Consider the following 15,693-nt stretch of genomic DNA (forward strand, 5'->3'; position numbering starts at 1 on the left):
GACAGAGAGTCCAGAAGAATCCTAGAGCATTTCATGGAGACTTGGCTACAGAAAAAGAGTTAAGCAGTCAACATGAGCTACAGCCCACACTGGTGACACACTGATATATACTCAATCTAAGTATGTGCCAACAAGATGGGACTCAGGCCTTGGCATAAGTCCCAGATTAGACTTCCGCCCTCCCCAAGCCTTGTGACCTTTCCCATGAAACCAATATGCTACAATACCGAGAGAACAATATTCTACTATCTGACTCACATTTCTCACTTGAAAAATTTAAACCAGTGCAGCATATTGGGAAAGTCTGTCAGCTTTAGAGCCAACAGACAAATTAAATCCAGCTTTATCACTTGCTAACTATATGGTCTTAGGAAAGTCATTTAATCTATTTGAGCTTTCATTTCTCCAACTGTCAAACGGAATTAATAATAATCTCTATGGTATGGAATATTTTGAGGATTCACTAAGGTAATACATACATAATATAGTGGATAAAAGCTCAAATCTAAACAGACCTATGATTGAATCCCATTTCTACCACTTACTTCCTGGGTGACATTGGGACAAGCTGACTTACCTTTTAGAGCTTCAATTTCCTCATTTGCAAAATGGTGATAACAGTGCATCCAATATGTTGTAAGGATTAGCAATAATGTGTGAGTACTGCCTCATCCAATGCCTGACACATAGGCAGTAATCTTCGAATGGTAGCCATGATTAACATTTTTGGGTATCAGTAGGATATTCTGCCTCTGATGAGTTCAAAAATAAATTTTGGAGCATGATAGGCAACAGGCCTGAACAGAGAGTCAGGAGCCCTTGGGCAAGTCATATTTTACTCTGAATTTTAGTTCCCGTAAGTGTGACATGAGGCAGTCATGCTTCTTAAACTACCTATAGCAAAGACTTTTTAAACTCAATACATCAAGACCAATACTTTTGCAAAACACAAAATCACAACCTTGGATGTCACTGCAATGCCAAATTGCTTTAGAACTTCCAAAGTGCTTACTCTCTTACTCTGCACTTCGTACATTGTGTACAGACAACAGTCCAAGACCAGTCCATGGACACATACTGAGCAGCATTGGCCTAGATGATCTCAGGAGGTGCCTCCAGCTTGGACACGCTGGTGGCAAATGGAACTAACACTACTTCACAACAACAGTATACTCTACACAGGAGAATTACAATCTGAACACCAGAAGGTCCAACAGTGTTTCTCTAAAGATGGCAAAAAGCCTGGCGGGCAACAGGCTGGTAATAGTTGTGATGTTCACCATCAAGTACTCACTGCTTGATGGGCTCATTCAAGACAAGAATTCAATCTCATTCATCTCTGAATTCCAGGGCCTATCACAGCGGACAACCCATAAAAATTTAATGGGTGAAATTAAATGGAGAGTTTTCCCAATTGTCATGATATTCAGGCTATTTCTGCCCTACACAATGCCTACAGGTTTTGGCTCTGTGCAGCAAAACAATTTTGCGGGGAAGGAGAAAAAAATAATTAAGTGAAAGAGGTATGCGTAGTAGATGTGTACAAGGTATACGTGCCTGAAACTTCTGAGTATGTGCTAGTGATGGAGAGGACATGGCCAAATACATATGTAGATGTGTAGGGGTAACCAGGAATGTCTTGGGCCAACAACTGTGGAGTGTGTGTACAAGAAAGGCAGCCAGCCCAGAATGGCACGTGTTTATATATGAATGGGTATGTTTGCTAGTGTGTGTGCCTACAGATGCACGAACATGTTTTAACTATAAGAATGCCCTAAGCTGGGAGTTCAGATTAAAATTTACCCAGCTTTCCTTTTCATTGACAAGTTGTCTTTCACCATTATGTCATAAGCTTTGTTAAAGCAGGAGGCTTTTGTATTCCCACTACCTAGAACAAGGCCTTACACATAGTAACCCTTCAATAAATATTTGTTTAAAGAATAAATTCATGGAAAGCATTTAGCACAATACTTGCACACAGTAAATGGTCAGTAAGTGTCGGTCATTATTGTGGTTATAATGCCTTGAGTGTAGTAAGAGCTAAACAAATGATAGTTGAATCTGAAATTCTAAATTCACAGTTGCCTATGTGGGTGATTTTATTTGTTCTTATTGGGATGTCTACCCAGCTATTTGTTTTTCTTTTTAAATAAGATTCATTGGGGTATAATTTATATAAAATACAATATACTTATTTTAGGTGACCAATTCAATGCATTTTGACAAATGTGTACTATTCATATAATCACCATCACAATCAAGATATGAAATATTCGCATTATCTCAAAAAGTTCTCTCCTCCCTCTTTGGACTACTCACCTGCTTTCTGTCATTATGGGTTTGTTTTACCTGTTCTTAATTTCATGTAAATTTCACATATACTCTTTTATGTCTGGCTTCTCTCACCCAGGAAAATATTTTTGAGATATGGTTAGTGTGGGTATCTGTACATCATCACTTTTTGTTCTGTTTTATGGATATGCCACAATTTCTTTATGCATTCACCTCTCATTAGACAGTTGGACTATTTTTAGTTTTGGGATATTAAAACAAAGCTGCTGCATAAATCTTAGCATAGCCATATGCCTTAATTTCTCTAGGGTAAATGTCTAGAAGTGGAATGACTGCATAATATGCTAAGTGTATTTTTAACTTTAAGAGAAATTGTCAAATATTTCCCCAAAATATTTGTAGAAAATAAAATCATACAGGATATCTGTTTGTGGCCATGATGGAGTAAGTGGTAGAGTACTTGCTTTCACACAGTAAATGAGTAAATTGGACAAAACAAATAGAACAGCTGCTTTCAGATATTGAATATCAGGCAGCAGTAAAATGAGTGTTCTGAGAGAAACAAACCAATTTAGCCCTATGATCACTCTGGTGTGGCACACAGTAGCCCTTGGCTAAATATTTCTAGAACATTATCCATCATTACATGTTAGTCATCATTATAACTAGCATAATGGCTTGCACAGAGTAGGAGTTCAAAAGTGATACTTGAATCTAAATCAAACTTAAGCAGTTTCGTATATGGACTTATTCTATTACTTTAGTGCCTTAAAAAACTTAGCATTTTCAGCAATGTCAAACCTGCATAAAAGTGGCAAAAATGTTGCAAAGAACTCCTGTGTATGCTTCTTCCAGAGACCCCATTCAAGTTTCATCAACCGTCTCAATAATACCTGTGATGGTAAAAGAATCCAATCCAAAACCACAGGTACATCCTATTGGTATATCCTTCCAATCTCTTTTAATCTGGAATAATGCCTCAGTCTTTCCTTGATTTCCATGTCCTTGATTTTCTAAAGATTACAGATAAATCAATTGGTAGAATGTCTTTCATTATGAGTTTTTCTAAAGTTTCCCAATGATTAGATCTAAGCTATGCATTTTCTATTGGACCATCAACAGTAATGGTATGTTCTCGTTTCACCCTATCAGATTTGATTCATCAGCCTAAGGCACTGTAAAATTTTGGTCACTTGATTAACTTGGTGTCTACCCTGTTCTTCTAGTGTGGAGTAAGTTTGTTTTCTTCTTCATAAGGTGTAAGTCTATGTTGGGGGTGGAGGGGAAGATACTATTAAACTATGTAAAATCCCATCCATCATCCCATTTTCTCCTGATAGTTTTAGCATCTGTTGATGCTTCTAACCTGAATTAATTTTATGATGGTTGACAAATGATTACTTTATAACCTGATCATTTCTTTTACACATACTAGTTAATCATCTATTATAAGAAAGGGCCTTGTCTTTCACCTATTTATTCATTTATTTAAAACTGAAAAGATTCATTACTATGTTTAGTGGACTTTAATACGTTACCACCATTATATATATAGATGCTCAAATTGTCCTGGATTTAGCCAATGTGAACCTCATCAAGCTGACATTTGCATCCTTTTGAAATATCTTTATTCATTACATCAGTTAAGGTTCTTCAGAAGAAATAGAAGCAACAGGATGTATATATATATATATATATATATATAGAGAGAGAGAGAGAGAGAGAGAGAAGAGAGAGAGAGAGAGCTTATTAATTGGCTCACATGATTATGAATGATGAGAAGTCCTATGACCTCCCTCTGCAGGCTGGAGAGCCAGTAGAAAGGCAGAGAAAGCAAATTCTCCCTTATTCTTCCTTTTATTGTATTCAGGCCACTAATGGATTGGATGAGGCTCACTCATATTGTGTAGGGTGATCTGCTTTACTCAGTCTACAAATTCAAATGTTAATCACACCCAGAAACACATATATACATCCAGAATAATGATGAACCAAATATCTGGGTACTCCATGGTCCACTCAAATTGCCAGAGAAAACTAGCCATTACACTGATAATTCTTTGGGCATTCTTTTATTACTTTCTCTTATTTTGGGAACCATAAGAAGGCTCCAGGTTCATCTCGTTATTTTCTGGCCCCAATTCGAGATGCAATCATTTCTCACAATGGCTCTGGCTCCTTTTATTGGACAGTGAGTGGTACAGTAGCTCGCCCTTATCCACGGAGGATATGTTCCAATATCCCCAGTGGATTCCTGAAATCACAAATAGTACCAAACCTTATATATACTATGTATTTCTTATACATTCATACCTATAATTAAGATTAATTTATAAATAAAGCACAGTAAGAGATTAACAACAACTAATTATGTGAATGTGGTCTCTCTCTCCCTCTCTATCTCTCTTAAAATATTTTATGGGTAAATGAAACCTCAGAAAGATAAACCGTGGATAAGGAGGGACTACTGTGTCTATAAACCAAGATTTGGATGCTAGATGTCCTTACTGCTACCATGGTGTAACTGTTCCCAGGGCTGCTCAATGAACTGAGTTAAAAAATGTATGTGTGTATATATGTGTGTTTATATGTATGTATATTTACATATTTATATATACATATTTATATCTATATTTATTTCTATATTATGTATGTACATATATGTACTTATATTTATATATAATATATAATTTATTGCATAATTGATTTATACATTATATATGTTGATATATGTAAAAATATTATTCCTATATTATTTTTACAATAATATTATTTTTAAATAATATTATTAGAGAACAAGGGAATACATTCATAAACTTATAGCAAACTGATTTTCAACAACGGCACCAAAAACACACATTGGGAAACAGACAGTCATTTCAATAAATGGTGCTAGGGAAACTGGATATCTACATGCCGAGGAGGGAAACTAGACCCCTATCTTTCACCATACACAAAAATCAACTCGAAATGAATTAAATAGTTAAATCTGACTCCTGAAACTATGAAACTACTAGAAGGAAACCTAAAGGAAATGCTTCAAGACATTTGTCAAGGATTCATTTGTTCAAGGATTTTTTAAATAAAGAACTCAAAAGTACAGTCAACAGACACAGAAGTAGACAAATGGGATTACATTAAACTAAAAAGCCTAAAATTCTTCTGCACAGCAAAAGAAACAATCAACAGAATGAAAAGACAATCTACAGAATGGGAGAAAATATTTGCAAACTAAGCATTTGACAAAGAATTAATATCCAGAATATTAAAGTACTCGACCAACTCAATAGTCAACAAACAATAATAATAATAATCTGATTTTAAAATGGGCAAATGACATGGAGAGACAATTCTCTGAAGAAGACATACAAATGGCCAATAGATATATGAGAAAGTGTTCAACATTATTAATCATCAGGGAAGTGTGAATCACAACCACATTGAGATATCATCACACACATCTCAGAATGGATATTATCAGAAGGAAAAAAAATAACAAATGCTAGTGTTGAAGTGGGGAAATGGGAGTTCTTATACATTGTTATTGGGAAGGTAAATGATTAAAGGCATTATGTAAAAAACAGTAAAACTAAAAATAGAACTACAATATAATCCAGCAATACAACTATTGAGTATTTATCAAAAGAAAATGAAATTAGTATTTTGAAGAGATATCTGCACTCTCATGTTTATTGTGGCACTATTCACAATAGCCAAGATATGAAGTCAACATAAGCGTCCATCAACAAATGAATGGATGAAGAAAATGTGGTATAGATACATAATGGAATATTATTCAGTCATTCAAAAGAAGAAAATCCTGCCATTTGTGACAGCATGGATAAATTTGAAGACATTATTTTAACTGAAATAAGCCAGGCACAGGAAGACAAATACTGCATGATTTCATTCATTTGTGGAATTTTTTTAAAGCCGATCTTATAGGACTGCATGCCAGAGGCTGGAAAGGGTGGGGTTGAATGAGGAGATTGGTCACAAGTACAAAATTAAAGAGAAAAAGGAGGAGTAAGTTCTGGTGTTCTATTGCACAATAGGGTCACTATAGTTAATAATATTGTATTGCATATTTCAAAGTAACTAGACGAGAGAGTTTTGAATGTTCTTACCACAAACAAACGATAAATGTGTAAGGTGATGGATAAGCTATTTACCCTAATTTGATCATTACACAACGTATACATGTATAGAAACATAACACTGTATCTCATAAATATGTACAATTACTTTGTGTCAATTAAAAATAAAATAAAACAAAAAAGTAAATAAAAATTACATTTTGCAAAGGAGTTTGTGTTTTAGGAAGACGTATGAAAGCAAGGTATGAGGTGGTGCAAAATCATGAGACTTAGCCTTGCTACTATTTAGCTGGGAGACCCAGAGCTAGCCATTTAACCTCTCCGAACTTTCTTCTGCATTTGAAATATGAGCTATTACCATTCCTATGCTCAAAATGTTGCTGGAAGAATTAAATAAATGATAAAGGTGACCTACCTAAAACAATGTATGAAATATAGCCTCAGTGCATAATATCAGAATCAAATAACTTGCAGTATGAGTATTAGATTAGAGAGATGGGGAGACTAGCTAGGCTGCTATTGCAGTAGTTCAACTGAGAAAGTCTTAGGCACAAACTGGGGCGATAGGAATGGAAAAGAGGGGACACAAGTAAGCAATGCTAATCTTGAAAGTGGACAGGGAGAGAAGCAGGGGAACTTAGGAAGGGATCTAAGATGCCTGCAGTCTCTCGTGTAGATGGCTGAGAATGGTGCAAAAAATGAAACAGATAGAGTAGGTGCCTGTGGAGGCATGGTGTGCGTGCCTGCACTTAGAGACAACATCTCAAATGACTGTTCATTCTATGATATTGTCAATACTTATTTATGTTCTTCTGTCAAGCTCTATAGTTGGAACATGGCATCACTATATCCTTGGCCAACTCCTGTTGGTGAGTCCTCTTTGGAAATTTCTAGTGAGAGTGTGATATGAGACAAATATCCATTTTTTTCCCCATGGTTCATTTTTTCCTTACCTTTTCCTTTATTTGCCTCTTCTTGTCATCATAAGGTTAAGGTCTTGAGAGTCTATACTTGAGTGTGGGACAAGGTGGTCACTTGGCCAAATTTCAGAGTAGGATGAGTCCTGGCCTTTAATCTAGGAGAAAAAGGTGTTTCTGAGGTTCACACGCAGGTTTTCATAAGTCATCATTCATAGGGCTTGTTGGCTATATGTAACGAATATTCATTGACTGCATTCTATGTATATAGACATATGCACGTGCGTGTGCACACACACACAGATATATACAATTTAATCACTGAATCTTTACAATATTCCTGAAAAATAGGTACAAGTATAATCGTAGCATGGCTGATTATGAGTATGTAGAATTTCAGGTGTGGAGGAGAGAAAAGAAACGCGTAAAAGAGGGATATGGAGGGTTAAAGCAAGTTACAATATGAGATTGATGCCCATGGCATCCCTCGCTGAGAAGGTGACATTTGAGTAAAGGAAATAAAGGAGCAAGCCTTGGGCTCTCTCAGGGAAGGGCTCTCTACAGAGAGGGAACACCAAGTGCCAAGGTCTGAAGCAGGGGCTGCCTGGCATGTTTAAGGAGCAGCAAGAATTTCATTCTGGCTGAGGTAGCATATGAGCGAGGGGAAGACAAGTATAAAGTGAGGTCACGGAGGTAAAGACAAACAGCTTGGGTGGGACTTGATAGATGTAAGGACTTTAGCATTTTCTCTGAGTGAAATGGGAGCCACTAGAAAATTTTGCAAAGACTGACATGACTTAACTTTCATTTTAGTAGGTTCATTCTCGCGGCTGTATTCAAAATACAATGGGATGAGGAGGGTGAGGAGAGAGGCAGATGGACCAAGCTCCCAAAGGTGATGAAAGCTTGAAAGCTAATATCTAGTGTACCTGTTATTAAGTTATTGCCTCTAAACTCCAAAATTCCTGTGGTTTCTGTCTCCTGATTGAGTCCAAACTGATAAACTTAAGTTAGTTGAACTACATTCATTTGTTGAGGAAACACTAGCCCGCCCCTCTCCCTCTAGCCTGTCCAGCTCTAAATATCTAATTTTCAGAGGAACCCATGAGTACTTGGTGTTTAGTGCAAGATTCAACCATCATGGGTCTCATCATTCCTCAATCACTTTCTTTTTTCTTTCTTTTTTTTTTTTTGAGACGGAGTCTCGCTCTGTCGCCCAGGCTGGACTGCAGTGGCGCGATCTCGGCTCACTGCAAGCTCCGCCTCCCGGGTTCACGCCATTCTCCTGCCTCAGCCTCCCCAGCAGCTGGGACTACAGGCGCCCGCCGCCACGCCCGGGTAATTTTTTGTATTTTTAGTAGAGACGCGGTTTCACCGTGTTAGCCAGGATGGTCTGGATCTCCTGACCTTGTGATCCGCCCACCTCGGCCTCCCAAAGTGCTGGGATTACAGGCGTGAGCCACCGCTGCCGGCCCCTCGATCACTTTCTATCGGAAAATGTAACTAACAGAATTATAGCCATTGCTTAACGTGTTCTCCACTGAAAACTAAATTACTTCATGTTAATACACATTTAGATTAAGACGTGATTGAAAAAATAGCTGTAAAAATCAACTAAACTATTCATAAATGCTAATTCCAGCTAATACTACATAGATGTCTCTATTGCTCTTTTATAAAACATTTTTCGGACCTAAGATGGTGAATAGATATGAAAATGAACACTCATGATAATAACTAAGAGTAATTATATACTTTACAAATACATAATTGAGAAAATAATAACAAAACTGATAGAGAAAAACTGTCAGTTTTACTTGTGGAGAAAAATTCAAATGATGCTTCACCCAAGAAATACTTACGTAATCAACACCTAATGAGCTGCAAAATGCAGTACTCCTCTTAATTTCCAGCAGGTATTATAAGCTCATAAAATCAAGTTATTTTAAGCAAGGAAAAAAAAAAAACCCATAACCATTACAGAAAGGCAAACTCTGTGTTATTTTACCATAATAAGTTTTTCCCTTTCCTGACGTTCTAAATGCCTATAATTTTAGTCACCAAGACCTTACATGAAGTTTTACTGGCAGAACGCTAAAGTGCCTTACGATCTTTGCTATTTATAGGGCACAGACTTGCCTGATACCTGATTCTCTGGCCTTCTTGTTTTTAAAGCCAATATCACCAATGCAAAGAAACAACATCCTGTTTAATCAGAACTGACAATTGACCTTTGATCGTGTGAAAAGCACAGCTGAAATAACTTACATGAAAATTGCCATTTTAAAGTGAAGAAGAAATGGATATACAATGCAGTATAAACCAAACTTATGATGTAATTTAGAAATACATGGTTAGGATTAGTGGGCAGAAATGTCCACAAATTAATTTTTTTTAAAAGGGTTCCATCTACAATATATGTGACTGATTACAGGTGTCTTTGAGGTCTTTACTGAAAACTTAATGAGGGGAGATAATAATCTATTAATCTTTTTACATCCAGTACCTAGTCTAATTCCTGGCATATAAGGGAGTCTCCACAAATATTAAATAAAATATGCTGTATCATTTGATAAATGTTTTTTGATAACTGTGTCAACCAGAATGAGATGGGTGTTTAAAATATCTTTCTTTTCATTCATTTCATGGTTAAGGCAGCAAAGTGTAACACAGCATTGCTCAGACCTTAGTCATTCTTAGGACACCTACAGGCTACTTGCCATATCCCTTATGTCATCCATATTATTGTTTACTTATCACTATTCTATAAATTGTGCCACATTTTCTACTTAAATTTTGTTTCATCTTAAGCCATAATATTTGTGAAATTAGAGGTGTTCTCTGCTAATTACATTTTACCATCCATGAAAATAAATGCATAAAAGGGGATATCTTTCCAGTTATTTGCATTTTCTTCCATTTCTTTCATCAGTGTTTTATAGTTCTCCATATACAGGACTTGCACCTCTTTGGTTAAATTTATACCTAAATATTTTTTGTTGCCGTTGGTATTGTAATTGAGATTTTTTTTTAATTTCCTTTGTGGATGTTTCCTTATTAGTATATAGAAACTCTGCAGATTTTATATGTTATTTTTGTATTCTGCTAGTATGCTGAAGTTGTTTATCAGTTCAAACAGGTTTCTGGTAAAGTCTTTTGGGTTTTCTGTATGTAAGATCGTGTCATCAGCAAATACAGATAATTTCACTTCTTCCTTTCCTGTTAGGATGCCTTTTATTTCTTTCTCTTGCCTAATTACTCTGGCTAGGACTTTCAATACTATGTTAAAAAGAACTGATGAGAGTGAGCATCCTTGTCTTCTCCCTGACCTTAGATGAAAAGCTTTCAATTTGTCATTGTGTTCATGGGTTGGAAGACTTAATATTGTTAAAATGCTCATAGTACCCAAAGTGGTCTGCAGATTCAATGTAATCACTTAAATTTCCAATGGAATTTTTCAGATAGAGAAAAATACTTAAATTTAGATAGAGCCAAAGGAGAACCTAAATTGTCAAAATGATTATTGGGCCAAGAAAAAAAAAAAAAAAGAACAATGCGGGAGGCATCGCACTCCCTGCTTTCAAAATACAAAGCTATTATAATCAAAACAGTATTGTACTGGCATAAAAAGAGACACATAGACAAATGGAATGGGATAAAAAGCCAAGAAGTAAGCCCATGCATTTATGGTCAGTTGATTTTTACAAAGGTGTTAAGATCACATAATGAGGAAAGGATATTTTCTTCAACAAATAATGTTGAAAAAACTCGTTACCTGCATGCAGAAGAATAAGATTAGATCCTTATCTCAGACCATATACAAAAATTAACTCAAAATGGACTAAAGACTTCAACATAAGACCTGAATTTCTAAAACTACTGTAGAAAACACAAGAGAAAACTCCCGAAACAGTTGTCTGAACGATGATTTTTGGATACAACCTCCAAAACACAGGTGACAAAAGCAAAAATAGACAAGTAGAATTTCATCAAAATAAAAAGCTTCTACATAGCAAAGAAAACAATCAGCAACATGAAGAGAGAGTCCACACTATGGTAGAAAATATCTGTAAACCATTCATCAGATAAGGAGTTAATATGTAAAATACACAAGGAACTAAGGCAGCTAAATATCAAGAAAACAAATAACTTGATTTAAAAGTGAGCAAAGAACTCAAACAGAAAAATCTCAAAAGAAGACATACAAATGGACAGCAGGTACATGAAAAAATCCTCAGTATCACAAATTATTAGAGAAATGCAAATTAAAACCACAATGTGATGTGGTCACACCTCATTTTATTGTACTTTGCTTTATTGCCATTTACAAAGAATTGCATTTTTTACAAAATGAAGGTTTGTGTCAATCCTACATTGGACAAGTCTATTGGCACCATTTTTCCAATAGCCATGTGCTCACTTCATGTCTCTGTGTTACATTTTGGTAATTTTCACAATATTTCAAATTTTTCCTATTATTATATCTCCTTTGGTGATCTGATTTCAGTGATATTTGATATTGTGATTCAAATTGTTTAGGGGCACTGTGAAATGTGCTTATATAAGACAGAGAACTTAACCAATAAATATTGTGTGTGTTCTAACTGCTCCACCAACCAACCATTCCCTCATTTCTCTCTCCCTCAGGCCTCCCTAATTTCAATCATTTCAATATTGAAATTAGGCCAGTAAATAACTGCAAAGGCCTCTAAGTGTTCAAGTGACAGAAGGAGTTGCACGTCTCTAACGTTCAATCAAAGTCTATAAATGATTAAGCTTAGGGAGGAAGGCACACTAAAAACAGAGACAAGTCAAAAGCTAGGCCTCTTGCACCAAACAGTGAACCAAGTTACGAAAGCAAAGGAAAACGTATTGAAGGAAATGAAAAGTGCTACTCCAGTGAACACACAAATGATAAAAAAAAAAATGAAACAGCCTTATTTTTGATATGGAGAAAGTTTTAGTGGTCTGGTTAGAAGATAAAACCAACCACAACATTCACTTAAGTCAAAGCCTAATGCATAGCAAGGCCCTAATTCTCTCCAGTTCTATGAAAGCTGAGAGAGGTGAGGAGGCTGTGGAAGAAAAGTTGAAAGCTCATAGAGGTTGGTTCATTTCATACCATAAAAGTGCAAGGTGAAGAAGAAGGTGCTGACGTATAAGTTACCAGATCTAGCCATAGTCACGGATGAAGGGCGCTACACTAAACAACAAATTTTCAATACAGATGAAACAGTCTTTTATTGGAAGAAGATCCCATCTAGTACTTTGATAGCTAGAAAGGAGAAGTCAATGCCTGGCTTCAAAGCCTCAAATGACAGGTTAACTCTCTTGTTAGGGGCTAATGCAGCTGGCACCTTTAAGCTGAAGCCAATACTCATTCTCATTTACCATTCTGAAAATCCTAGGGCCCTTAAGAATTACACTAAATCTACTCAGTCTGTGCTCTGTCAGTGGAACAACAAAGCCGGAATGACAGCACACATCTGTTTACAGCATGGTTGACTAAATATTTTAAGCCCACTGTTGGGACTTACTGCCAAGGAATAAAAGATTCCTTAAAATATTCCTGCTCCTTCACAATGCACCTTGTTACCCAAGAGCTCTGATGGAGTGGTAGAAGGAAATGAATGTTGTTTTCTTGTCCACTAACAATATCAATACTGCAGTCTGTGGATCAAGGAGTAATTATGGCTTTCAAGTCTTATTATTTAAGAAATATATTTTGTAAGGCTATAGTTTCCATAAGATAGTGATTCTTGTGATATATCTGGGCAAAGTAAATGGAAAATTTTCTAGAAAGAATTCACCATTCTAGATGCCATTTAAGAGCATTTGGGAGGTCAAAATGTCAACATTAATGAGAGTTTGGGAGAAATTGAGTCCAATTCTCATGGATGACCTTGAGGCATTTGAGACTACAGTGGAGGAAGTAACTGCAGATATGGTGAAAATAGCAAGAGAACCAGAATCAGAAGTGGAGCCTAAAGATGTGACCAAATTGCTTCAATTTCATTATAAAACTTTAACAGATGAGGAGTTGCTTCCTATGGATGAGCAAAGAAACTGGTTTCTTGAGATAAAATCTATTCCTAGTGAAAATGCTATAAATGTTGAAATGACAACAAAGGATTTAGAATATTGCATAAACGGTGGGTAAAATGCAATCAAACAGCATTGCACACGGCAGAGAAAATTTTCCTAAAAGGAAGAGTCTAATTGATACTGCAAACTTCATTGCTGTCTTATTTTAAGAAACTGTCATAGCCACCCCAACCTTCACCAACCACCACTATTATTAGTCAGCAGCCGTCAACATCAAGGCAAGACACTCCACGAGCAAAAAGATTACGACTGACTAAATGTACAGATGATAGTTTGCATTTTTAACAATAAAGTATTTTTCATTTAGGTTTGTACATTGTTTTTAGACATAATGCTATCGCACAGATAATAGACTACAATATCATGTAAACATAATTTATATATATACCAGGAAACCAAAAAAATCATGTGACTCCCTTTATTGTAAAATTTATATTATTGTGGTGGTTTCAAACCAAACTCCCAGCATCTCTGATGTATGTCTATATCCTCTCATGCCTGTTAGAATGGCTTTTACCAGGAAGATGAAAAATAACAATTGTTGGGGAGGGAGCAGAGAAAAGGAGACTCTTGTGCATTGTTGGTGGGAATATAAATTCGTACAGCAATTATGAAAAACAATATAAAGTTTCCTCAAAAACCTAAAATTAGAACTGCCACATGATCCACTAATCCCATTATTATTTTTTTTTAAAGAAAAGGAAATTAGTATATCACAGAGATATCTGCATCCCCTATGTTTATTGCAGCACTGTCCACAATAACAAAGATATGGAGTCAACCCAAGTGTTCATCAACAGATAAGAAAAAATCTCTTCTCAACTTCTCCCAAAGTGGTCCTTTTCAGTGATTTCTTGATATATTGTCAACATTAGAATGAATTTCAGTGATAACTTTTAAGACCCCTCTCCCTGGGGAAATCGGGATGAGAGGGCATGTAGTATACAGGGCCAGTAACTCTGTTCCATTTTGTGCCCAAATTCAAGTTCCCGTCACACTTTCTCTTGCTGTTTTTGTAAATATCCATAAAAGAAAGACTACGCAGAGATGAATAACATAGTGAACAAATAACTGTGTGGAAGTAATGATTGGAATTTACACCTCAGAAGATTAAATTAGCAAATAAGAAGACAATCTTGAGAAACTTTTCAGAACCCAGAGAAAACAGACATAAACAAAACTGAGAGGAGTAATATTAAATATGGGAGGTACAATAAATATGAGCAACAAATAAACGGCAGCTGGAAGAAGGTGAAAATGTATAAAACAGAAGCATTACTGAAGAAAAACTTAAGTAAAGGGGTTCTGACCTCAAGAAAAGCAGTAAGTCTAGAAATAAAGAGCATTCACTGAGTTCTATGAACAATTAATCAAAACAGATTCATATCAGGTATAACTATTAAATGTCACAAATCAAGAATTCTTGAATGGTCAAGCATCTACATTTCACCCAAACCAAAAACAAACAAGTGAACCTAATAATAGTTATCCACAAAGAAACAAGATCAAATTACCCTTAATCTTCTCCAAAACTGAAGAAGACGATAGATTATCGACCACAGAGCTGAGAGTGGGGAGAAGTATAAGCCAAGAATTTTAAATTGTAAAGGAAAAATAAAATTTTAAGCCCCCAACTGTCTGAATGCACCCTCCCCTTGACCAAGGGCATTCTAAAGTTAACCTGAAAAACTAGTTCAGGCAATGATGGGATATGGGGATTGGACATGCTGCATTATACTCTCCTCCCTTTGGAATTCAGGCAGAGCTGACCAGCATGAACATTAAAACAGAAATCTTAAGACTGAAAAAACAGAGTTTTTGTAGTAATAAGGCACCAAATTCCAGCCTGCTCTAATATAGCTTCCCATGACAGATAGCAAGCCCTGAAAGAAATCAAAGTGTCTTACCCCAAAATATATTTCTTGACACATTTTGGGCCCTGGAAAGCTGTCTGTTGTGGGGAAAATCTACATTCTATAGAGAATCTCCTTCTTTTCTAGGTCTTTTCTCTGCTCCAGGGGACAATTGACTAAGACTCTGGCAGCTTTTAAGGTCTGATAAGAGCTATGAAGCTTGCTACCTGGAGGTTTCATCTGCATGTAAAACAATGGTCTCCACTACCCTTTATCTTAATATCTTATCTTATTCTTTACTATTAATTCTAGGTCTTTGGATAATAACTCTTTCCACCACTTGCCTATCACAAAATCTTTGAATCCACCTATGACCTGGAATTCCCCACTTTCAGTTGTCTTGCTTTCCTGGAACAAACCAATACGCAT

The sequence above is a fragment of the Homo sapiens genome, chromosome X, assembly GCF_000001405.40.
Source record: "Homo sapiens chromosome X, GRCh38.p14 Primary Assembly".
Lineage (NCBI taxonomy): Eukaryota > Metazoa > Chordata > Mammalia > Primates > Hominidae > Homo > Homo sapiens.